The 23,778-nt window shown below is 50.0% G+C and overlaps 1 protein-coding gene across 50 annotated transcripts in view, besides 2 other annotated features; it reads right to left on the bottom strand.

The window, feature by feature from the left end:
* Window positions 1-23,778, bottom strand: part of ZNF618 (zinc finger protein 618) — a 180,285-nt gene that overhangs the window by 56,927 nt on the left and 99,580 nt on the right. For 28 of the 50 annotated variants that reach the window (XM_011518203.4, XM_017014245.3, XM_047422721.1 and 25 more), the window contains exon 3: window positions 11,087-11,346. In XM_011518203.4, coding sequence (XP_011516505.1) covers window positions 11,087-11,346 — 260 coding nt within the window. Of the gene's footprint in view, window positions 1-1,312; window positions 1,409-11,086; window positions 11,347-23,778 lie in introns of all 50 variants that reach the window. The other 22 variants (XM_005251692.4, XM_017014242.3, XM_017014241.3 and 19 more) reach the window with 1 other exon arrangement.
* Window positions 9,909-10,409: an enhancer, noted in NCBI's record as "H3K27ac hESC enhancer chr9:116751538-116752038 (GRCh37/hg19 assembly coordinates)". NCBI's record gives its function as "activates a minimal SCP1, AML or CMV promoter by ChIP-STARR-seq in naive H9 embryonic stem cells {active_cell/tissue: H9 hESC(naive)}" and the evidence as "EXISTENCE:reporter gene assay evidence [ECO:0000049][PMID:30033119]".
* Window positions 13,224-13,518: an enhancer, noted in NCBI's record as "tiled region #15709; HepG2 Activating non-DNase unmatched - State 22:ReprW, and K562 Activating non-DNase unmatched - State 10:DNaseD". NCBI's record gives its function as "activates a minimal TATA promoter and a strong SV40 promoter by Sharpr-MPRA in HepG2 and K562 cells {active_cell/tissue: HepG2 | K562}" and the evidence as "EXISTENCE:reporter gene assay evidence [ECO:0000049][PMID:27701403]".

Genomic DNA, 23,778 nt, shown 5'->3' with positions numbered 1-23,778 from the left:
TGGAGTAGATACTGTTTACAGCCAAGTCAAGGCCTGATTGGCAGGCAGTATGGAGTTCACCCCAAGCTGTGGGAGAGCTGTGGGCACATGCAGCCTTGCCTGCAGGTGTCACCCCACAGAAGGAGTCATGGGGGGCATGATGGCTCCTCAGCCTCTCCTCGGCTGGCTCCTGACCCCCAGTGCAGAGTGAGGCAGCCTGTCTGGCACACGGAGTCTCTGGACTGAGCACTGTGTGCTGGTAGGAGGGACCCTGAGCCTGCCCCTCATGCAGCGTAAAACCCAGGGCCCCGCCTGCGCCTCGCTCAGCCTAAAGCCCAGGGCCCCACCTGCCCCTCGCTCAGCCTAAAACCCAGGGCCCCGCCTGCCCCTAGCTCAGCCTAAAACCCAGGGCCCCGCCTGCCCCTCGATCAGCCTAAAACCCAGGGCCCCGCCTGCCCCTCGCACAGCCTAAAGCCCAGGGCCCCCACCTGCGCCTCGCTCAGCCCGACTCTGGGCTTCAGGTTCCCCTTTGTGATGGGGCCAGGGAGGTGAGAGGTGGGGCATGGGGAGAGTTCACTAGAGGGGCAGCCCTCAGTGCAGTGATGCCAGCAAACCTGGGTGCAAACCCTGGCTCACCACATCCCAGCAGAGGGAGCCCTGGACAAGTCATGGAACCACCCACACCTCAGGTTTCCTCCCTGTAACACTGTACACCCCTCAGGGGAACGGGTTGTGAGGGATAACGTGGTGGCTCCTTAGCACAGGGCCTGGTCCACAGCAGGCACACGATACAGGTCAGCTGCTGTTACTAGCAGCATTTTCCGAAGTTTATTCTTTGGAACCCAACTTCCTGAATGCACCCCAGCAAAAAGAGGACCATGGCCAAGAGTGCATGAGGGAGACCTCGTGGCGTGGCCTGTCCTGGGGAGGCCACTGCACAGGGGCAGCCGCAGGCCCTGCGAAGTCCTGCAGGGAGAGAGGTCAGCTACTGTTTAACCCAGGGTCTCCCAAACACATTTGGCTTGGAACCCTTTTGTCCCCTTGGCCTGTTTCAGAGTTGCGGCCCATAGGAAGTGCTGCCAAAATGCTCTGGACATTCTAGGCGTCCAGATTTCCACATGCTCTATCGTCCCTCCAGTAGTCCAGTACTTCCAGGGTCCCAGTCAGATTTGCTCACATGTAGCCAGGACAGGGGATGAAGAAGGTGGCCCCTCTTGACCCTGAGATGCTAACAGGGGCCTGCTTACTCAGGTCTGTAACTGATGGCTGTGTCCAGCTGTGCCCCCACCCATACTGGCCCCGGATCAGGCACTACCCCTTGGCCATCACGTACCAGATGCATATCTCAATGCTTGGTCAAAAATCCAGGTCCCTGAATACCGGCTTCGCACAGATCCACCGTGGGGGCTGCCTTCGGGCGCTTTTCCATCTGAATTACGTAAGAAATCAGAAAGAGCCCTTAAAGTTGGAGAATGCCTGGAAGGTTAGGGAAGGGGCGAAGTTGGCTGCACTTTGAGAAGCGTGGACAAGATCACACTGCCTACCTCTTCGTTAAAAACCTTGTGCTGGCCAAGGGGCATCCACATGTTCCCCAGGGAGGCTGGCACATGGCAGAATACAGCAGCCATGGGTCAACAGCTCCCTGAATTCAGTTTTGTGTTTTCTCTATATTCTGATTCAACATATGGTTAGAACACACAATTTCTACCCAAAAACCCTCCAGCAAAATCACCCTCCAAGGACATGTGCCCCACGGGTGCAGTGTCCATGCATCCCCCTGGCCTGTGGCCACCACAGACCCAGACTGATGCAGTGGTGCAAGGAGGGCCTTCTTGGGGACTCAGCTCAGGCAGTCCTCAGCCCCGACGCCTGGCTCCCTGCCCAGCACGCTCCCTCTTCTGTTCATCCCAGCCACTTTTTTCCTCTATGAACCATGGCTATCACCATCACCACCTGTCTGGGCTCACTTCATCTGCAATGTTTCCATGCAGACTGACCTCTGCCCCACTGCATGGGTGAGGAAGCAGAGGCTAGGGCAGCTGTGTGCAGCATTTCGCCCAGTTCATGCAGCCAGTTAGTGGGCTCGGGGTCCTGGCTCAGGGGTTTCTCACACCAGCTCAGTTCATCCTCACAATTCCAGCAGGTAAAGGTGATTATTATCCCCATTTTTCAGATGAGGAAAGTGAGGACCAGAGGGGCAACGAATAGCACCAGAGGTCGGTCAGATCTGATTTGCTCCCAAGCCACACAACTAGCTTCTTGGAAAGCACCAGGAAGAAATGGTGCTTGTGGGCTGTGCGCGGTGAATCTCAGCATTTTGGGAGGCCAAGGCAGGCAGATCACTTGAGTTCATGAGTTCAAGACCAGCCTGGGCAACACAGCAAGACCCCCATCTCTACAGAAAACACAAAAATTAGCTGGGCATGGTGGAGCACACCTGTAGTCCCAGCTACTTGGGAGGCTGAGGTGAGAGGAACACTTGAGCCCTGGAGGTCGAGGCTGCAGTGAGCTGTGATTATGCCACTGCACTCCAGCCTGGGCAACAGAGTAAGACCCTATCTCAAAAAAAAGAAAGAAAGAAGAAAAAAGAAGAAGAAGAAAGAAGAGGAAGAAGAAGAAAAAAAAAAGAAAGAGAGAGAGAGAACCTTTACCAGGTCTCATTTCCGTCCACCATCTTCCCAGAAGTCCTCATGAGGCTGGCAACTCAACATCCGTCGCAAGGATGAGCATCAGCTTGGCTAGTGGCTGGCAAGGAACTGGGCTCAAAGTAGGCCTTGGGGATCCAGAGCCATGCTACTGCCACCACCCCAGGTCACCTGCTGGATGTCAGGCAAGCTGTGTGTTCCTTTCAGTCATGGCACTTTCCTTAAATGCTACAGGGCAGCAGAGCCCCCCACTATGTCTGGTGCTGCCACAGGACTCCCCAGAGTGCCCTATTGAGAGCCCTGGGACTGCTCCCAGGGATGGCTGGCAGGGCTTGCCAGCACACAGGAGGCAGGAGCGGACTTTTCCTCTTCCCATTCCTGCTATCACAAGTGATGCAACAGTCGCCATCCCAACTAATCCGAGTTCACAGCTCCCACTGAGCACTTTCCCTAAACACCTGGCTTAGCTCCCTCCCAGAGCATCAGACAGACCAGGCGAGGACAGGGGGTCTAGTTCCTGAAGTCACAGAGGGGGACGCTGGGAAGATGCCTAGGAGAGGATGCAGGCTTCTGAGAAAGAATGTGGGGTAGCAACCCTTTGCACCCAGCCAGGTCTAGAGAAGCTCGGGCACCTTTCACAATACACAAAATGTGACAAGATAGAAATCCAAAGCTGGTGAATGAGAGAAGAAAAACGCAAGGGTAGGGACAGAAGGCTGGTTCCTTACAATGGACAGTCCCATATTTAGCTCAGAGCGTCTCAGGAGCCACTGTTCAGAGAACAAATGTTCAGGAGTGTGTCCAGCCCTCTCTGTTCAAACATGCAACAGGAGCTGGGTCCAGGGCTTGCCGAATGACAGGGGATCTGAACAGGGAAGTCATGGACAAGTGGGTTTCCTGAGGCTCTGGGGCTTGGCCTCAAACCAAATGTCCTCTGGAGCAGGGTCTTCTGAGTGAAGCACAAATCTCCTGGGGGTGTGTGGTGGCTGCCCAAGGGGTAAGTAGGTCCACACAGCCTTAAGAGAATCATCAGCTTCTAAATGTGTTCTTTCCTAAAATCAATGTGCCAGAGAATCTGGCAGGTGGGAGGCCCCACTCGCTGGTTCTTCCCACTCTCACCTTCACCCTTGTGCCACGTTACAAACAAAAGACGATCCTTTCACCCACCCCTAATCCTACCACGGTGCCTGCCCCAAGAGATGAAAACCCTGGGGCTCCAAGCAAAGAGGTGACCCTACAATACTGGTGTCGGGCTCAGAAAGTGAGTGGATCTAATGACCAGGAACAACTCCTTTTTTGAATCGGGTGACTTCCAACTCTCTGCTCTCAACAAAATTAGAGGAGGATATAATGGAGTTGTCAGCGAAGAGACCATTAAAAATATCATCTGATGATAGACCCCTGTGTGATTTCTGGCATACAACTTGGAAGGAATTCAAAGAATTGAGTGACACTGCTAAAACAAAACTCTATCCACTGCCAGCTACTTACATATGTGACTGAGCTTTCTAAGCACTTAGACCTACAAAAACCAAAAGATAGGAATTAAATTAATGTCGAATCTTGTCTCCTTCTAGCAATAAGAAATATTAATTCAGAGATACATGAGCCAATTGAGAAAGAAATGAAGCCCTATCCATTTCATTAAGAGATGCATTTTCAATAATTTTTTACTTTTACATTTACTATTTACCTAAATTTGTTTTTGATGAATTGTATGCTAATAACAACTCAATCTGGAAAAAAAAAATGTTGGAGAATGTAGAGCTTTATGATCCCAGGAAATTTTTTTTTTTTTTAGAAATTTCAATTTCAATTTATGTACATCTTGTTATGGTGATGAGTGTGAAACAGTGATCAATAAAAGACTTTCAAGCATAAAAAATATATTTTACATTAGGATAAAACCCTGTGGGGGCAGTGGACTGGAAATATGAGCTCAAGGAGAAAAAGGAAAGATGTAAAATTTCTGACTGTTAAAGATAGGCTTGTTCATATGTTTTTGAAGTGATGATGGTGGATATCAAATAGTGGTAGTGTTTGGATTCCCTTGGATACATTTTGAAAATTGGTTCACAGTTTTATTTCCAAAATGCCACCTTTTTTTTTTTTTTACACAATATCCTGGAAATTATATCCTTTGCAATGATTTAAACTTTGGATAAAAATGTTAGATGGCAACTCAAACATGTGAAAAAGAATATACAGTTTTCAAAATTCTTTTAGGAGGTATTGAGCAAAAACAAATGTTTGAAAACCTTGGCCTTTTAGGTTCCTGTCACTCTAGAGGTAACCCCAGAGGCATCAATGTCCTGAGGTTCCAGCTAATAGCAGTGGTACTGGTTTTACGTTTTTTGTCCCGTTAAAAACACTTCCATACCTATTACGTCACTCTGCCCCCAACAATTCTACTGGAAAGAGGGGCAGACTTTTATTCTACCTACTGACCATTCAAGACACGGTGGCTTAGAGAAGTTAAGGGGCTTATTCAAGTCCCCACAGTAGGGTAAACCCTGGGCTCTTGACTTACAGCCCAAGGGCCCTTTCTAACAGGGACCCTCTAACCCTTCAGACCCCAAGAGGAAGCGTCAGTAGCAGAGACAGGACGCGCCTGGGAGGGTGGCCAGAACTCCTCCTTTCCGAGTGGCTGCAGCAAAGAGCTGAGTGTTGGTTCTGGCAGGCTCTTGTGTGAGGCCCTGCCAACAACCTATTGAAACAGGAAACGAACTATCAGCTGGCACGATGAAGCAGGACCTGGCACCTACGCTGCCTGGGTCTGTCACAGGCTGAAACCCACGTGGCTGTGTCTGAATGACTGTCAAGCTCTTCTGCTGCTCCTTCCAGCGCCATAGCCTGGCTGCTGCCTCCTGGTTGGAGCTCCTTCCTCCTCTTTTCCTGGCTCTCTGGGCTGCCCTATGTGTGTGAGAACACCTCTGTACCTCGGTCCTGAAAGCTTGCTGCCTAGAAACATCCTTGCAGAATCCAGTCTCCCATCTATCTCATCCTTGACTCCCGCTCCTGCACTTTGTCCAGTGACCCTCCCTGATCACCTATGTCAGGACGGGGAACTCACTCCCTCACAGGCTTATGTCCAGTTACCAAACAGTTCCCATGATCACACGAAGTCCTTCCTTTTACTGAGTTGAAATCCCCTCCTGGAGACTTCTCCGTATTGGCTAGGACACCCTGGAATGTGTCTGCTCCATGCGCACCTTGCAAAATGCTGTAAGTTGTGAATATTTAGATTCCATTATCCCCCTCTTCAGGTCTCCACTATCGGGGAATAACCCAGTTGGTCCCTGTCCCTCATCTGAAGAGGGGTCAAGTCTGGGTCACTCATTCCCTCCACGGTCTCCTGCACTGCTACTGAGGAAACTCAGTTAAGTCTCGGGTCTCTGGGCCCCTACTGCTCTCCCTGGACTCCCTCATTAGTAAACACCTCAGGATTAAGGACCAGTGGTTTCACAGCATAGGAAAGAGTACCCACTGCTTAACAGTACACCTGGACCACCATAATGGGATGCGGGCATCCTTATCTCTCAGAGCCAGGAAATAGTCTAAGGGCTGGATGCTCTCACTGTTGTAAACCCAACTTGCCTTATCTTCATCAAGAAGAATGGCAAGTAGGTTTCCACTTCTAATTTTTCAATTCTAGCTGACTGGCAGAGACCTCTTGGCATACTGTGTTGAGAAGGATTCTGAGGTGCATCATTGGACAATGTACAGTAATCAATTCGCAGTGTCTGCCATGAACATGGGACTGCCATGAACCCGGAGCGAGGCTGGGTGAGCGAAGTCCTCAGGAGGCCCTTGGCACGGCAGGAGCAATGGTAGTGCCTTGTGTTTGCTCCTCCTCCTAGAGGAGCCCCTGAAACCTCAAGTGTGGTCTGCCCTTCCTTCTTGGGGCTGCTGTACAGAGCTGTTCCTGCAGCCTGTCAGATGGGTGCAGGCGTCTGTTAACTTCCTTTCTTTCATTTCTGCTTTTATCCAGCAAAGTTATTAAGTTTAGTATCTATCATCTCTGCTCTTCTTACTATAAAAGGAAGCTCTTGGTCTTGCCCCCAAACCCTGCACCAGCTCCAATGGCAGTGACTTTCTTTCTCGGAGTGAGAGACACCCTTCTCAGCACAGGGAATTCTCTGGGCAGCAGGGAAGCAGCAGCAACCATTGCGAACTTGGCAGCCAGCCTCCTGGGCACTGATGCCCCTCCTGACTCCAGCAGGAGAAGCTGCCAAATGCCATCTGTGTGTCCATGACCCGGGCTCCCCCACGGGAAGTGCCTTGGATGATGTTTGTGTCACTGGGAACATTGTTTGTCTGATGGCTATTAAAGGGCCAGTGTGGACTCGGGGAGGCTCCCTCATGGCGCAGCACTGGGTGACTGAACAGGAACACTCTTCTACTCAGCAACAGAGCCCGTCTCTGAGCCCGGAGCGAGGCTGGGTTAGCGAAGTACTCAGGAGGCCCTGGGCACCACAGCACCCAGCACTCCCCGCCAAGTGCCCCAGGAACACGTTAACTCCCCCATGCCCGGTGACCAGGACAACGAATGCACACTGCAGCAGGGGCTCACTTAAAAGCAAGCTCTAACCAGCACCCCACCCCAGCCAGGTCCCTGGGAGAGCTTTCCCTCCTTCATACACTTTCAGAAGCAGGTAGGAGGTAGGTGTTGTGGTAGGCCCTTCATAACACGAAAGAAAATGTCACCAACTTCCTGGGTGACCCTGGGCAACTCTCATCCTTTCCTCAGGCCTTGTCTGCCCCTCTATAAAATAAGGAGGTCATGGGTACCAAATTGACAGCATGCATAGCTCCACTGCCCACTTCTACATCCAGGGCAGACACCAACAATCAATCATGCCACCCTTTAGAATCCTCAACAGAGAACTCCTTACAGCCAGTAGCAACTGCTTGGACTTAACCCACAAAATCTACTTGCCATCTTGAGATGAGAGGAGTCCAAAAGGTTCAACTCTAACACTGATTTTGTTTTTAAATGCCTTTCTTTCCTGGTGATGAGGCCAAGCCAGCTTCCTCTGAGCCTGACCCTTGGAAGAAAACCCCCATCCCTAGGCAGAAAAGCCTGACTTCCAGCATGCAAGATGAGCTGCCGTGACAGCAGGGAGCACTCTGGCCCTGCTTCCGTAGGGCTACACCATGGCAGCTCCACACGTCCCTTGTCACTGGGGCTTCTACATCTTTTTCACAGGGGTCTGCCCAAAGCAGATTACAAGATCCTCAAAGTCCCTGAATTGGAGGGAAGCAGTACTAGAAGGAACACCAAGGTCCAGACAGGTTTCCCAGTCCAGTTCCCAGGGGAGAAAACTGAAGCCCACTTGGAATCCCTGTCTTCTAATACCTTATCCTGCACCGACTTTATTCCCCATCCCATCGTTTCAATATATCACAATAGCTTACTTCTTAGATGGGAAAAAGCAGAAACAATGACTATCCCTTCCTCTTGAAGAGGCATTTTATACTGTTAATATTAGTAGTACTGAGAATACTAGCTACTTGTTTACTAAGCACAATGTTGAGCACTTCACATACATTATCTCATTGAATACTCAGATAGCCTGATGATTTCATAATTGTAAGAACTGAGACAGACAGGGCCTGAGGTAGCACACCAGTTAAGTCATGGAGCCTGGATTCACTCCCAGTCCAAGGATCCCAGCTCATTCTCCTCAGGCAACACTGTTTCCTTCCACTGCCGCCTTGGATGGCCACGCCCATGAGGTGGCCGGGACAGGGGCCATGCCTCATGTAACACAGGAGGACACTAAGGTACAGTGAGGCCAAGGACCCTGCTGCTGAGCAGCAGCTCAGCTGGAATCAGCATCGGTGGCTGGCATGAGGCTCACGGGTCCTGGGGCTCTCACTGTGCAGGCAGCTGGCCTAAGGAAGATTCCCAGCATTTCCCTGGCCTAGCTGCCCAGAGCTTTCCCCACTGAATCCAGACTGCTGGCTCTATCCCAGGATTCAGATTCAACCATCCTTTCCTGGGCATCTCCTGGTGAAGGGCAGAAACAGCTACTGGGTCTAATGAGTCTTAACACACACAGATACCAAAGAGAGCAAGTGCAGGTCTTCTCCATTAACTAACAAATCCACCAGTGATTAACACAGTCCCTGGCCTCAGGGAGTGAATACTGATGGAGAAACGTCAGCGCAGGCCCCTGAAAAGACTCACTCTCTCATTCCACACTGGCCTAAGTCACTCCTGCGCCTCCCCAAACATTCCTGGTTCACCCCTATTCTGTCACATGGGAGGACGGCATTTCCCAGCCTCTTTGAGGTTGGGTGGGGCCGTGTGACTAGTTCCAACCAATGACTGTGAGCGGAATTAACACCTCTCTCTCTGGCTGCAGCAGTTAATTGCCAGCGTAAGTCTCTCCACAGCGTGCTTTCCCTCTGTCACTTGGCTGGCAGCATTCTACATGACAGCTTTTAGTCTGGGACCAGAGGGGAGCAGAGGTCCCTCTTGACCCACAATGGACGTGTAGTGTGAACAAGAAATAAACTGCTGTGGTTTTGAGCTACTAAGATATCTTGTACCTTTCAGGATCTTTTGTTACTGCAGCATAACCTGGCCCCACCTTGACAGCTGCAGCACCAGTGTCAACATTACCACTCCCAGAAACCAATACTTTGTTTGGTATTACAGAGTGGAAGCAGGGAACATGGAGACATAAATCAGGCAGGTCCTGGAGCCCCAATCTCTAGGGGTTTCCACTTTCATGGAAGAGGCAGGCACAGACAGGGCCCCTCTAATCTAAAAAGAAAGTAGAAAGTGCACCAACTGAGGAGCAGGGTAGAAACAGCCCACTCTCACCAGAAGAGATCAAGGAAGTCTTCTGGGAGGAGGTGGCACTGGAGTTGGCCTCGAAGGATAGGTTGGATTTGGGCAAGTGGAAATGGGGGAAGGCATTCCTGGGAGAGGCAACAGCATACACAAAGTACAGGAAGAGCAGACTACACTGGAATGAAAGGTCTGGGAAGACCAGAAGCAAGAAATGGGGCTAGAAGGTTCAGGTTATGGAGGCTCTTAATGCTCTGGCCTCGACTCTAGAGACAGTAGGGAGTCCCAGGGTATAAGCAGGGGAGCAACATGGTCGGTGTTCTGTTTTGGCCAAGGCCTCCTGGCAGCCAGGGCAGGGGGCAGGCAAGCTGCAAAAGCATGGCTGTTAGCAGGATGCTGCCATGACCCAGGTGGGGCTGAGATGGCCACAACCAGCAGGGAACAGCTGGCAAAGGGAGTTTAAGGATGATTCTCAACAACTGGGAAGAAAAGGCACCAGGACTTGAGTCTAAACTTGCAGAAACGAGGCCATGGTGCCGCATACAGGATGTGCGCCAGGAAGATGGAGGTGCTTGGAAGTCAGTAGGAGGTGAGCCAGAGCTGGACCAGGAAGGCAGCAGAGGCTTGGACAGCAGCAGCACTTCTAAGAACACACTGAGCCTTGGAAACATGGAGTAGGGAGTGGAGGGAAGCAGAAATCTGGAGCCAGACCAGGCAAGGCCTCCACGCCAGGAATGAGGACTTTATGTCACAGACCAGGGGTTGCAAACTTGTGCCCACAGGGACTCTGACCCACAGACATGTTTTGTTTGGCAGATTTCAAAAGGTCAATTGGTTGCAACATTTAAAGCCAAAAGAATTCCCATCAAAATGTTCATTTCTGGCGTGTGATTTGTCCAGAGATGTGGCAACGCTGAGCCGTATCCCCACCCAGCAACCGTCAGTGCAGCAGCTGAGCAGCAGCCGCCCTCCACACACGCGGCGTGCCTTCTCTAACTGGACATGGTCCCCACCACCTGTCCTGTTGGCTCATCTCTATTTATGCTAAATAAACATATTTGTTGGGCCTCATGGGCATTTGAGTCTGTGAACCTGGCAGCAGTGCAGGGGGCCCCTGAGGGGTATCCCTGGTGCATGCTGGAGACCGGAGGGAGAGAAATTGTTGCTAAGATGTGAGTTTCCACAGAGCTCCTCTGGGCCTGGCCCAGGCCAGAAGAGGCAGGGGAAGTGCCATCTGTCACTGATCCAATCCTGATGGGGTACTGCTCTGAGCAGCACCGGCACTGGGATCTCCAGCAGAGAGGCATTTAGGACACCGAGCAGTAAGGGCTGTGGGAGACCCCCCAGGGGTATGGGAGCCCTGAGACAGACAAAGGGATTCACTGGGCCCCCGGAAGGTTCCAGGCATTTGACTTAAACAGGGTATTGATGGATGGATAGGGTTCTGCTGCCCAGCAGAAACAGAAGCGCTCTCCAGCCGGAAACTGCACAAGCAAAGGCAAGTCTAAGAAGCTGAGATCTCTCCCTGAATGCAGAGGGAAGCCAGCAAAGGTTCTCTCAGCCAGGAAGGGGGCAGAGGCGCCAGGCCGCTTTTCCCCAGGACTCTGACTCCATGTTCCCACCCTGGTCTCCACCCTGACCACAGACGCTGGGCACTCACCAAGGGTCTGCTGGTTGCGGACGCCGCCGATCACCACGCAGATCTCGGCAGGCACGTCGCTGGTCCCATCCTTGCTGACCGCCTTCTTCTCCTCCTTGGCCTCGCCCTGCCAGATCACCTCCTGGATGTAGTCATCGGGCAGCTCTGTCTTCACCTTCACCTCCGTCATCGTTCCTTGCTCGGCACTCAGCGAGGCCTCGGCTGGCACTGGCTCTGGGCCCTCCACCTTGGTGCTCTTCTGGCTGCGCTTCAAGCGCTCCCTGGGAAAGAAGAAACTCCGTTCAATACCTTCTTCCTCCAGATCAACACAGGAGCCCACCAGCCCATGGCACCACAGGGACATGCCAGGCTGTGTGCATAGTGAATTCTAGGGCCCCCGGCCCCCTTAGCCTCCCACACAACCCCCACGGCTACCCCTGAGGCTCTTCCAGGGAACCCTGAGGCTTCAAGGAACACAGTTTGAAAACCATTGAGCAAGAAAGCCTCCAACTCCACCCATTTTACAGTTGGGGAAGCTGAGGTCTCAAGAGGTCTAGATGTGCCCAGTTGCCTCACTTGCCACTTATTTGTTTGCACTTATCATAACTGGAGTTACAAGTGACCTAAAAGGGCACCTCCAGCTGGCTGAAATCAGTACTTAGACCTCAGTGTGCATACAGATCAGCTGGGGGGGATCTTGAAAAAAAATGCAGATTCTGGCTCAGCTGTTCTGGGGTAGGGCCTGAGATTCTGCATTTCTTTTCCTTTTTAGAGATGGGTCTCACTATGTTGCGCAGGCAGAACACAAACAAACTCCTGGGCTCAAGCGACCCTCCCACCTCGGCCTCCCGAGTGGTTGGGACTCCAGGCACCATGCCACCATGCCTCACTCAGAGATTCTGCATTTCTAACAAGCTCTCTCAGGTGGGGCCAGGGCTGCTGGGCCTCAAACTACGCTTTGGGCGGTAAGGGTTTCGTGCTTTGATGTACGCGATATCCAGTGCTGTTCCCTTCGTTCCTAGGCAAGAAGGCTTGGGATCTTGTCCAGGCTCTTCCCCGCTCCTGCTTTACAAACGGGAAACTCCAATTCAAAAAGACTCACTAGGTTGAGATGTCATGGAGCCAACACTGTGGCATGGAGGGGGCTCTTTAAACATCGGAAAACATCCTCGAGGTAATGATGTCAGTTCTGAAGAGGGCAGGGCGTGGGTCACTCAACGTCCCTCATGAGGGGGACACTAAGGACTAAAGCAGAGCTGTGACTTGCTCAGGCCAGACATAAAATTGGGGACAGGCCAAGGCAGGAAGCCAGGTCCCTGCCATCCACTCCTGAAGCATCCTCCTTTCAACACAGCTGTCCATGTTATCATCCTAAGGGCCCCACATCCTTCTGACAAGGGAAGCATCCCCATGACTGTTGTCTGTGAGGTGGGGAAGCTGAGGCTTGCACATACTGGGAAATCGAGTCATGTTCCAGGCCCAGAGACACTGCCCTGGCCATGCTAGCCTCTCCACTGTGCCAGAGGAGAGCATGGTCTGTGAATTTCAAGGCCCAGACTCAAAACAGAGAATGCCAGCATTCCAACTGCAGCACAGCAGGGCCACTGGACTGGGACTCAGGGACCCAGGCTCCAGTCCTCCATCTACAATGGGCTTGCTGTGTGGCCTTGGGCAAGACTTTTCTCTTCTTTGGGTTTCAACAGCCCTGTTTATCACAGGAGCATGGGTTTAATCACATCTGCTGTCCTTCCCAGCTTCAGCTTTCATCCAAGGTGGAGAAAGGTTGGGAAACTGAGCAAAGATAGAGAGGGGAGCCCCCAGCTAATGAGGAGAGGACAGAGGAAGGCCATGGGGAGGTGCTATGGACTGAACTATGTGCCCCCAATTCAGATGGTGAAGCCCTAACCCCCAGTGTGACTGGATCTGAAGAAAGGGTCTTTGGGAGGTTAAGTGTGGTTAAATGAGGTCACACTGGAGGGGCCTTCATGAGGGGATTGGTGGCTTTGTAAGAAGGGAAAGAGATTGCTCTCTCCCCCACGTGAGGACACAGTGACAGGGCGACCCTCTACAGCCAGGAGGCAGCCCTCACCAGAACCCAACCGTGCTGGCAACCTAATCACAACCTCCAGCCTCCAGAACTGTGAGAAAATACATTTCTGTTGTTTAATTAAGCCTATGGCATTAGGCATGGCATCCCACAGCATTCTGTTAACAGCAGCCCAAGATGACTCATACAGGAGGCCAGGACTCAGATGGACGGAACACGAGTGCAAGGGCATGCTGGGAAAACCAGTCAGGAGCAAGGGCTATCGCGCCAACCACTTCCTCGCTGTGGGCCTCAAGCCAGCCACCTAACCTCTGAGCCTTGGTTTCGCCGTCTGCAAAATGGAGGTAACAGGGTTGTCATGCAGATTTTAATCAACGAACACATGGAAAGTACTCAGCACAGCGCCTGGCCTGGAACTGCTCTCAAGACATGGTCACCACGACCATTGTTAATAATGACACACTGTTAGAGCTTCTTTGGCACCCAGGGGCGCCTCCTCCTCATGTGTCTGTCCCATCAGGGCCACCAGACACTGTCTGAGCTTTTGCCCTTCTCCACGGTAAGAAAGTGTAAAACTGCATGATTCAATCGCCTCAGAATTCATTTCCTTAATTTACTTAAGAAACACTTAAACAGAGCCTCCTATGTGCCCGGCAGTGTTCTAACATACTAATTCCTTTCATCCTTAGCAATGACTCTAGGAACGAAATCTTGGTATTAGCTCCACTTTACAGTCTAGGAACTGTGGCACTGAGAGGTGAAATAACGTACCCAAAGTCATGTGGGTGGTACGAGGTGGGACGGGGACCTGATGCAGGCAGCCTGGACTGGGAGACAAACTCGCAGAGGGAAGCCTCCTCACCCACAGCCGAGGCTGCCCCACATCACCCACCTTTGACCTTCAGCATCCAGAACAGAGCCAAAACCAAGATGCTCGTGGGTGAGCAGGAGGACAGTAGGTTCCCTGGCTTTCCGGGCTGCTGCCACCTTTGTGGGGGATAATATCATGAGCAAGAGTCCCCCTGGCCCCCCAGAGGGGAGCACGGGCCCGCCTAGCTGCAGGACACCACAAGGCAAAGAAGTCTCAAGTTCTGTGAGGCCTAAGACATAACTAGAACTGGCAGGTCCAGCACGTCACAAGAGGACAGCTGTGGCTTTAGAGAGGGAGGTGATTCCTACTGCTGGCCAACAAGAAAAGGGGATCCCCTGGAGGTGGTGAGCTCCCCGTCAAGAGAAGCACTGGAGCAGACTGGCTGATGGCCTGGCTGGAGTGAAATGGGCCAAGCACCAGACTTGGAAGTTGGATCATCCTAGGGTCAAATCTCAAAACTGCCAGTTGCAGGTTCCTACATAAGTGACTTGACTCCTCCAAGCCTCAGTCTTCACATCCAAACAATGGGGACAAACACGGTACCTACCCCACAGTGCTGTGAGGCAAAACAAAGTAATGTCTACGTAGGACCTAGAACAGTAAGCTCCCAGTGGAGATGTTTCATTGTTATCTACCTTTGTCTTTTTTATGGCGGGCAGGGGAGGGGCATGTGCAGAAGATGCAAGTTTATGTGGCATAGGTGTTTAGCGCATGGGCTGTGGAGTTAGACCAACCAGGGTTTGAATGCCAGCTCTACCACTGTTCAGTAATGGGATACAGGCGGTGAGGGAGTAAGGACTTTGTCTAGTGCTGCAGAGGTGGTCATGCTGATGAAGCTGATAGTGAACGATGTGTATTCACATTCAAGCCGGGGGGTAAAGAAAGCAGCTGACATTCCCATTTCCTAGCTAAGACCTCATGGGTGCTAATGGTCAGGGCCCTGAGGCTCAGTAGGCAAAGAGATGGAAGGAGAGGAAACAGATGGGGCCCCCGGCCCAGAACTCCCTTACCTCGGCTTTCTTCACAGCCAGTGTTCTGAAACTCAGCCCGAGGCCTCAAGAGCACCTGACCATGCCACCTGAAAAGATTCAGTGTCCCTTCCTGCTCTCAAGTCCTCACCACCATCATGGCATCCTGGTAGGGGAAGGGAGGAGCTGTAGGAGCCAGGCAGGCTGGGTGGAACTCTCATCTGCCCACCCCTACACCCTGCAGCCCTGGGCAAGAGACTCCCTTCTCTGAGCCTCTGTTTCCTTGTCTGTTAAAGAAGGACCATGACTCTTGCTAGCTGCAGGGGTGGGCACAGAGTGCATTTCCATGAATGGCAGCTGCCATGATGATGACATTGGTTCATGATGACATCCTCACCTCTGGGAAGCCTTCCTGGCTTGCTTGAGGCAGAGTCAGACTCCCTCTCTGAATGCCACGTCTTCCTTGCACAGGTGACTCTGACAGCCATCCTCCCATTGTGTCCTAATGAACTCATCTTGACTCGCTCGTCCCCTTCCCGAAATTCCAGTGTAGCTTCTAGTTCATTGCCTTGTTTTATTTCCTTTGCAGCCCTGTTACCTGAAAATGCTTTGTACACTGGCTCACCAAACTGCACTTGTCCTAAGAGTAGGTGGGGCCCTCGGGAGTGTTGTGCGCCTCTTATACCCAGCATCCAGTAGGCCTATATTAGGTGCTCCATAAATATGGTATTTGCTGAATGACCAAAAGGATACCTGCCTTCTAGTAAGCAGGCACTGGGACATATGCCTCCTAAGACTCCCCGGGGCCCACTGGAACAGCAGAATATATCCTTGAGATGGGTTTCTAGAATGGATGGTCACCCATTTGCAACAGGGCCAGGCATGAATGCATCACAGGAGAGGCCCTATCCAAAGGCACAGGACGTGTAGCAGAGTCAAAACCAGAACTCGCATCTCCAGACTCCCCATCCTTTGTTCTTTCCACTGAACCACCAGAGTCTCAGGTCACCTGGAGTGCCCTTAACACCTGGAGCTGAGAGTCAGGCACAGGGGAATGTCTTTTTCCCATGAAAAGGCAGCCTCTCCCTAGTTCTTGTACCCACATCTCCCACCCCAAACAAATCAGAGTTCACACTGGCAAATACAGCTGCAGCTGCGTGACCAGCCAGATTCCTGACTGAGTTCACAGAAGATGGGGACCAGTGAGCCACCCTCTATCACCCACGGGCACAACAGCACATAACCATCCACTCCCTTAAACGTGATGCCCCCGAGTCCTTGCCGCGACAAAGGCATGGGCAACTTCCTTCTCTTCCCCTCGCCCCCGACTTCTAGGCTTTAGATTTACAAACCCAAATGTTGCTTTTCTCAAATGCTTTGCATTTAATTAGGTGTCCTAATAACAATGGAATCACATAAGTACTTATATCACTTTGAGTTAGTGGCGCAGCTCCTTCTAACTTCTTTAAAATTTTTTTTTCATATATCATTTTTTAAAATAGAGCTCATTATTTTAATTATATCCATTTAAATGTACAGTGGAGCCCTTGGATATTCTCAGCACGAATCATTAGGTATATTAGTGAAAAAGCACTCGGAATCTATCTACATGCTGACACTCCATAATCTATTCTATTTGTGTCGCTGTAAAATAGATTTATATATAGATAACTACAAAATAGTTGCTCAAGATATGCTATGAATTTTATATTTAACCCGAGTCACACTTCAACATAAAATCCAAAGTCAAACATTAAAAGGATATTTTTCAGTAAGTACCTGCTATCCGTGGTCACCGGTTACTAATTGTGCAAGCTGACCAGGAGAGAAGCCAGACCAAGGGGATCCCTGCCCAAGAAGTTCCCTAAGACAGCTGGCCTTTCTCTAAGGCAATGATTCTCAAAGTATGTTCCTTGAAGGTCTAGGGGTTCCATAGCAATGGCTCTTAGATGCACCCATGAGGCTGGAATGGGGATGGTAGTGTTGAGCAAGGCTCTAAGACTCCCCATCTTCAATACACACAGCTTTGCTTTTTGCCTGATGTATACAGATTTAGGCCTCTTTCTCTCTGTGGTGGGGTGAGCGGTAGCCCCCTAAAAGATATGTCCACATCCTAATCTCCTGATTCTGTGCATATGACCTTATTTGGAAAAAGGGTCTTTGCAGATGTAATTAAGTGAAGGATCTTGAGATTAGGCTCATCCTTGGATTATCTGAGTAGCCCCTAAATGCAGTAAGTGTCCTCATAAGACAAAGGGAGATTTAAGACAGACAGAAGAGAAGTTACAGAGGAGAGAAGGCAATGCGCCCCGAGAGGTAGAGCTGGAATGATGTGGCCACAAGTCGAGGAATGCCGATGGCCACCAGAAGCAGGCAGTGACAAAGATCAGATTTCCCCTGGGGCTTTCAGAGGGAATCTCACTCTTCCAACACCTTCATTTCAGACTTCTGACCCCAAGGAGTGTATAAACTGCTATTGTAGTGAAGCAACAGGAGCAAAAGCAGCCATAGGCAACCAATACATGGTGTAACATGAAATTTGAAGAAACAGCTCCAAAGCAGTGAAGTTTGTAAATTACTATCTTCCACTACCTTTGGTTTTCTTCTGCTTTGTTCCTGCTCAATCCTGCTACTGTGTCTGGCCAGGCCAATGTGCCTGCAGACTCTGCCCGGGGAGGTTTCAGAAACAAACAAATGTCTCTCTCTCTCTCTCTGGGTCTCACCTGACAGTTCTTCACAGAGCTCATGCCCACCTCATCATGCTTGGCATTGACAAGAGCTCCGTGGCCAGATGGGGAAACCAAGGCACAGAACGGGGCCCGGGTCTGTTTTATTCATGTCTATATCCCCAGCCCTAGCACAATGCCTGGCCCACAGAAAGAACTCAGTGCACACAGGTGAAGGAAAGGCATGGCCAAGGTCACACAATTTTTAGTGATGAGCTTAGTCTGAAAACTTTTTGGCTCCTGTTCTGGTACTGTTGTCACTAAAGCTTGCAGCCTAAGACAATGCAACCAAGTAACTTACCAGTGGATCTGAAGCCCAAAGAGATGCCATTTCAGGCATGTCAGAGGAGAGTCCGCCCTGATGCTAGGTGCCTGGGAGTATGGCGGCTTTGTTTCTGGGCACAGTTTCCACATCATTCTGCCAATAATGATGATGCTTAAGAGTTCTACCAAGTCATAGTAGACGTGAGCAATGCTCAGCACCCTGGCCTTCAGTCCTATTTCTGCTGTTGATTCCCTGGGCTGGCTGCCTACCCCAAGACTCAGTTTTCCAATGTGCACAATGAGTGAGCAGGGATCAGAGACATCTAAGGCCCTTACACAGGCCAGAACTTTACCCAGCAAGACATGTGTGTCTCCTTACACAGAGGGGGAGCAAGGCGTACATCTACGTCCCAAGACTCAGCCTGAGGACCCCTGCTCTTCCTCCAAAGGGTGCCATTTACTCTCACACCTCACCCACCTTTAACAATGTTAAGGGTGGAGAAAAAAGCCTCTAATTACAGTGTGTAAATAATGACTTGGTTAACTCCCCCTAGAATAAAACTCCACTCCTTAGGAATGAAGGTGAACTGCTCTCCAGCTGAGCTTAAATACACTCTCCATGAATGCATGCATGCATGGGATGTTAAATGCATTAACACACATCCAGACAGGACTCTGCCCACTGACCAAGTCCTCCAACTCTACCCACTTCCCACTCACTGACTATATGAGTGCAAGTGATTCTTATCTATTTGCTGATATTGGCAGGCCGGCTCCTTGGTAATAACTGTTAAGTCCAATGGGCTGTTGCCTCCACTACTCCACCACAGCTTCTCTTCAAGGTCTCCAGTGGCTGCCACTCTATTCAATCCAGTGGTCCCTTCTCAGTCCCCGTCGGACTCTGCCTCTAGCAGCAGCCTCTAACATGGCCTGCCTCTCCTCCATCCAGCTGGTTGCTCACTTTGCTCTGTGCTCCCCTGGTGGATCTCCGGCCTTCTGGACATTCTTATCTCTTGTGCTGAATCCTCTTCATCACTCCAGCTCTTACAACTTGATATGCCCCAAGGATCAGTTCTAGAACCTATTGTATTTTTATCCACACTCATTTCCTAAGCGATCTCATGGAGACTTGTACTTTTATTTCTTATTTATCTTTTTTAATTTTCATTTTTTAAAGAGAGTCTTTCTATGTTGCCCAGGCTGGTCTTGAACTCCTGGGCTCAAGCGGTCTTCCCACCTCAGCCTTCCAAGTAGCTGGGACTATACAGCTAGACTCTTTAGTTCTAAATATTAACTACATGGTGTTGAATCCCAAATTGTATCTCCAGCTTGGACTGGCCCCCCACCGAACTCCAGACCTGCATAAACCCCCAACTGCTTGAAACCTCCATCTGGATACCTAACAGGCACCTCGTATTTAACAAGTCCAAAACCCTGCTGCTACATCTCTTCTCCCAAGAGAGGAAAACAATTCTGCTTCCTAGCCCAGCACTCTTCTGGCTAAAACCTGCCATCTAAGACAATACAATCAAATAACCACCATCATCTCCACTTCAGCTAACAGTAATTCCAACCTTCCAGCTCCTGCTGCCCAGACTCTAGAACTATCTTTGACTCTTCCTCTTCTGTCACTCCCGACTATGAATATACCAGCAAATCCAGCCAGATCCGCCTTCAAAGTATGTCCAGAATCCAACCATTCCTTACCATACCACGACCACCACTTCAGTTCAAGCCACCCCCCCTTTCTCCTGTCTTGTAAACATCTCACAGCCAATCTCCCTTTCCCCTATACACTGCCCTGGAATCCACACTGGACAGAGCAACCAAGGTCATGTCACTCCTTGGCTGAAACTCATTTATGGTTCCCCAGTATTTACCCACTCGGTGTACTCTGTTACCTCTCTGTCCACTTTACTGTCTGTTTCCTCAACTAGAACGTGAGCTAGAGGACAAGATTTTGTCTCCTTGGTTCATGATACTCAGAGCAGTGGCTGGCACATGGGTGATGGTCAGCAAGAGGCTGTTTACCAAGTGAACCAAGGACCAAGCCCAGGAAAGGTCAATGCCAGCATGGCACTGGAGGCACCTGTAGCCTCTGATCCAGGCAAGACTTTTCTGTGATCAATCCATCAACATCACTGTAACTGTCGATGGTTTTCCTGCTTCACTGAATATTCAGAACTGAAGAATGACTCATTCATCTGGCCTTTATTATAACATAGGTTAGGGATGTTTCACAGAAGCCAATTTTCTGAATAAGTGAAGCTTATTTCTTGAGTGTCAAAGTTATATCTTTATCCTTTCTGATGAACTGATGAAAAATTTCTAAAATGTAACACACTCTTCCCACTTTCTGAAATGCCAAGATACAGCAGCCTGGTAATACCTTGACATTCTCTCTTGAGGGTGCAGGGTCGCCATCATGACCACCAATCAGCATACACTCAGGCCCTAAGGCGACAGGGTGGCTGCTCCCACTAACAGTTCAGGAGCCTTCATTCTCCCACCAGCGGTTCTGGAAACGCTCCTCTTTGCTTCTAACAGGCTCCTGCCCTGTTAGAACTCCAAATCTGCCCTCTAATTAATTCCATATGGTTCTGGAAGATTTCCAGAGACCAGGGCTCTACCCACTGCTTTTTGTATCCTTGTGCTTGGTCCTCTGGCAGGTGTCAGCTAAGGTCTGCTCAATGACACAAACAGAAAATGACCAGACAAAACACACCAGCATGCAGGGTGGAGGTGATGCTGGTGAGGACAGTCATGATGCAAATGGCACAAATAACACAGAGAGTGATGCCAAGGGCAGCTGTGGTGTAATGAGTGCTTATGACATGCTGGGGCGGTGCTCCGGGCCCACACCTACACCATCTCATCCTTCTGTGCAATGCCTGATATGGGATTTTTTGGTTTCTAGATAAGAAAACCAAGGACTGGAGAAACAGAGTGACTTTTCACAGTCTCCCTGCTTCCTAGTGACAGAATCAAAATTCCACCAGGTCTGTCTGACTCCAAAGTCTAGGCTTTTAACCATTTGGATAATTTTTGTTTTCTCTTCTCAAGAGAAAATAATAAAAACACCTGTTGAATGAATGAACACATACATGACTAAATGCCAGAAGTCCCAAGACACAGGGAATATACTCCCTTGTTTTTTGCTGTTTCCTGAGCATACAGACAGAACTGGGCACATTTTAGATGCTAAAAGTCACACCGACATGAAATAAAGGAAAGGAATGAAGGGTCCCACCTCTTCCACAGAGAAAGGCGCCTGGGCTCTGCGCTTGCCACCTGCCTCTCTCTCTCCCTGATGTGTTTTCAAATGCTGCTGTGCTCAAACATGTCCTTCAGACATAAAGAGTCTCCAGCTTTTAGTGACAAGGAGAGAAGCCATCGTGGGAAAAAGGTCATAGCTTCATCACTAGCCTGGGAGAGCTGAGAGAGAGAACATGGAGCAGAACCACAGTGTCCGCAAATGACAGGAGCGAGGCCCATGCCTGGTACTTACTATTCCGCCTAAGTTTCAAATCCTCACATCATCACCTGTTCCTTAATAACCCTCAAAATGATCTGTACTTCCATTTCTGTCATGTATCACTGATATATTTTAATAAATAGTCAAGTAGAAAAGATTAGATTAATAGATTAAAACTATTAACCTATTAAACAACTCTTAACAGTCTAGAAATTCAAAGTAACCTACAATGCATAAATATATCATTAGTTGGAGATAATTCTTAGGCACTTAATTTTCCTCATTGTACGGTGTCAGTCAGCCACAACGTTAGGTAATATTGGAGTTCACAAAGATGGTATATGATTTAAATATTAACAGTAAATTTCCTGGTTAAGTTAAACCTAGACTGGGGGAAAGCAAGAGTCTTGGGCAATCTTGTCAAGTCACAAACTCCAAAATTTAGCAGGGTGGGGTTCAACAGTTAAAGCTGGGAACTTCTTTTGAGGGTGCTGTGGCATGTGGAAGGTTGCCCAGGACGTTAAGGAGAAGCAGTGTTAATGGCATTTTAAACAGACACGCTACCTTCGTTTACCAATGGGTCTGGCAATGGTGCAATTCTGACCAATTAGCAATGTACACTGTTCTCTGAGGGGCCACCTCTCTGTCTCCCAGATAGAATATCCCCAACAGACAGGTATGGAGTAGAGGCCAATGAGGGGCCCATGCTGTCCTGCAGAGACCCACCACCCTGCAAAGACCATCCTGCACACATGAGGTCCTATGCAGACCCCAGAAGTCAGGGAGCTCAACCACTAAAGAGCGAGGCCATCCCTAAGCCCTCACACTGGACGTCTAAACAAAGGATAAACACACTCCCTCTGTTCACCATTACTTCATGCCAAGGCTATGACTTAGCAACTACTCCTTTTTCTAATTCTCCAAGGTCCAACTCCTCTGGCCATCTTCTCCTAGGAATGAAAGGATAAGGAAGCGCCCCAGCAGAACTGTGACCCCTCCACCTTCCTGCCCACGTCGCCAGCTGATGCCCAGTGCTGCCCAGCTGCTGACATAGCTTTGCTATCTCTCCATGGTGCTGTCCCCGTCCTGGCATTACAACTGCCCTCCTCCCCTCCACCCTGCAGTCTCTAGCACTAGGGGCGTGACAACCAACCAGCTCTTGCCCCAACACCCCAGAGTGAGAACTCAGCCCTGGTTTGCTCACTGCCTGGACGCACGCTGCCCTTGGACACACACACAGGACTCTTTTAACTACATGATCCAGTCCTTACAAGGTGCTTGGGGATGACAAAGCAGATGCAGGGATCGTTGCTAGGAGCCATACCCTGTCCACACTAAGGATACTCTGGAAGATTAAAGGATGGATGGATGTAAAGTGCCATATATCTAATAGGAACTCAATGCATATTAGTTAGTTCTTTTCTCCTACCCCTACTAAATACACCAGACAAAATGTGAAAAGTTAGGTTAACCATGAAAAAGATGAGCTCACAGGCTGTCAGTGGAGTACTCATAAATGGAAGTAGAGGAGGAATTTTTAGCTCCTATGAAAACAAAAGGAGTGGGGGACAAGGTCACCCTCCATGCAGCAGTGAGGAGGAGAGACGGGAGACCCACACTGCAGCCAAGTCCACTGCAGGACAGCCAGGCAGGAGTGATCAAGAAGGTGGGTTTGAGGTGTCCCGACACTGTTAACTGTCACACTCCACATGGAGTCTGGAAGGTGCTCCAGCCAAGGGTGAGCATGTTCTCTTTTGTCAGCAGAGCCAGACAGATGGTGAGGTTGTGCAAATTTCCTGGGTTGCCTTCTCAGATCAAGGGCCTCTGTTATTAAAGGCCTCAAGAAGCAACTAGGTCAGGTCCTCCTACTTCGCACTCTCAATATTGTGCTTCAGGACAAGGCAAGATTCTGAACACTCTGAACTAACAGCCACAGGTTCACAAGAAGAACTTTCTTACTTTGCTCAAGAAGCACATGTGGGGGGCATGTGCTGATTGGGAGGACTGAGTTCCCTAGAGACCCCCACCAATTCCCTTTGCTGGACCACCCAAAGTTCAAGTGCCCTTTGGCACAAACAACTCACGGATCTTGATGGACGTGAATTGTGGTTTGCATTTCTGTGGCTGTCTCCAGAGGGCAAACCTAAGACTGTATATGAATTTTCAAGAATCTCTCTTATTTACAGAGCCTAGGTTGAATGGTAAATGGTAACTAATTAAGCAGAGTGAACTCTGCCCACCAAAAAAGCAACCGGCCCCTTTGGAGTAAGTACATGGGCCCCCATTCAACCTGCAATTTAGGATTTTTTTGTGGACAAACTTTGCCCGAATTTTGGTAGGGTGAGAATATTTCTGGAAATAC

Source organism: Homo sapiens, chromosome 9, assembly GCF_000001405.40.
Source record: "Homo sapiens chromosome 9, GRCh38.p14 Primary Assembly".
Taxonomy (NCBI): Eukaryota; Metazoa; Chordata; class Mammalia; order Primates; family Hominidae; genus Homo; species Homo sapiens.
The sequence above is the reverse complement of the archived record's forward strand: the minus strand, read 5'-3'. Positions and strand labels throughout refer to the sequence as shown.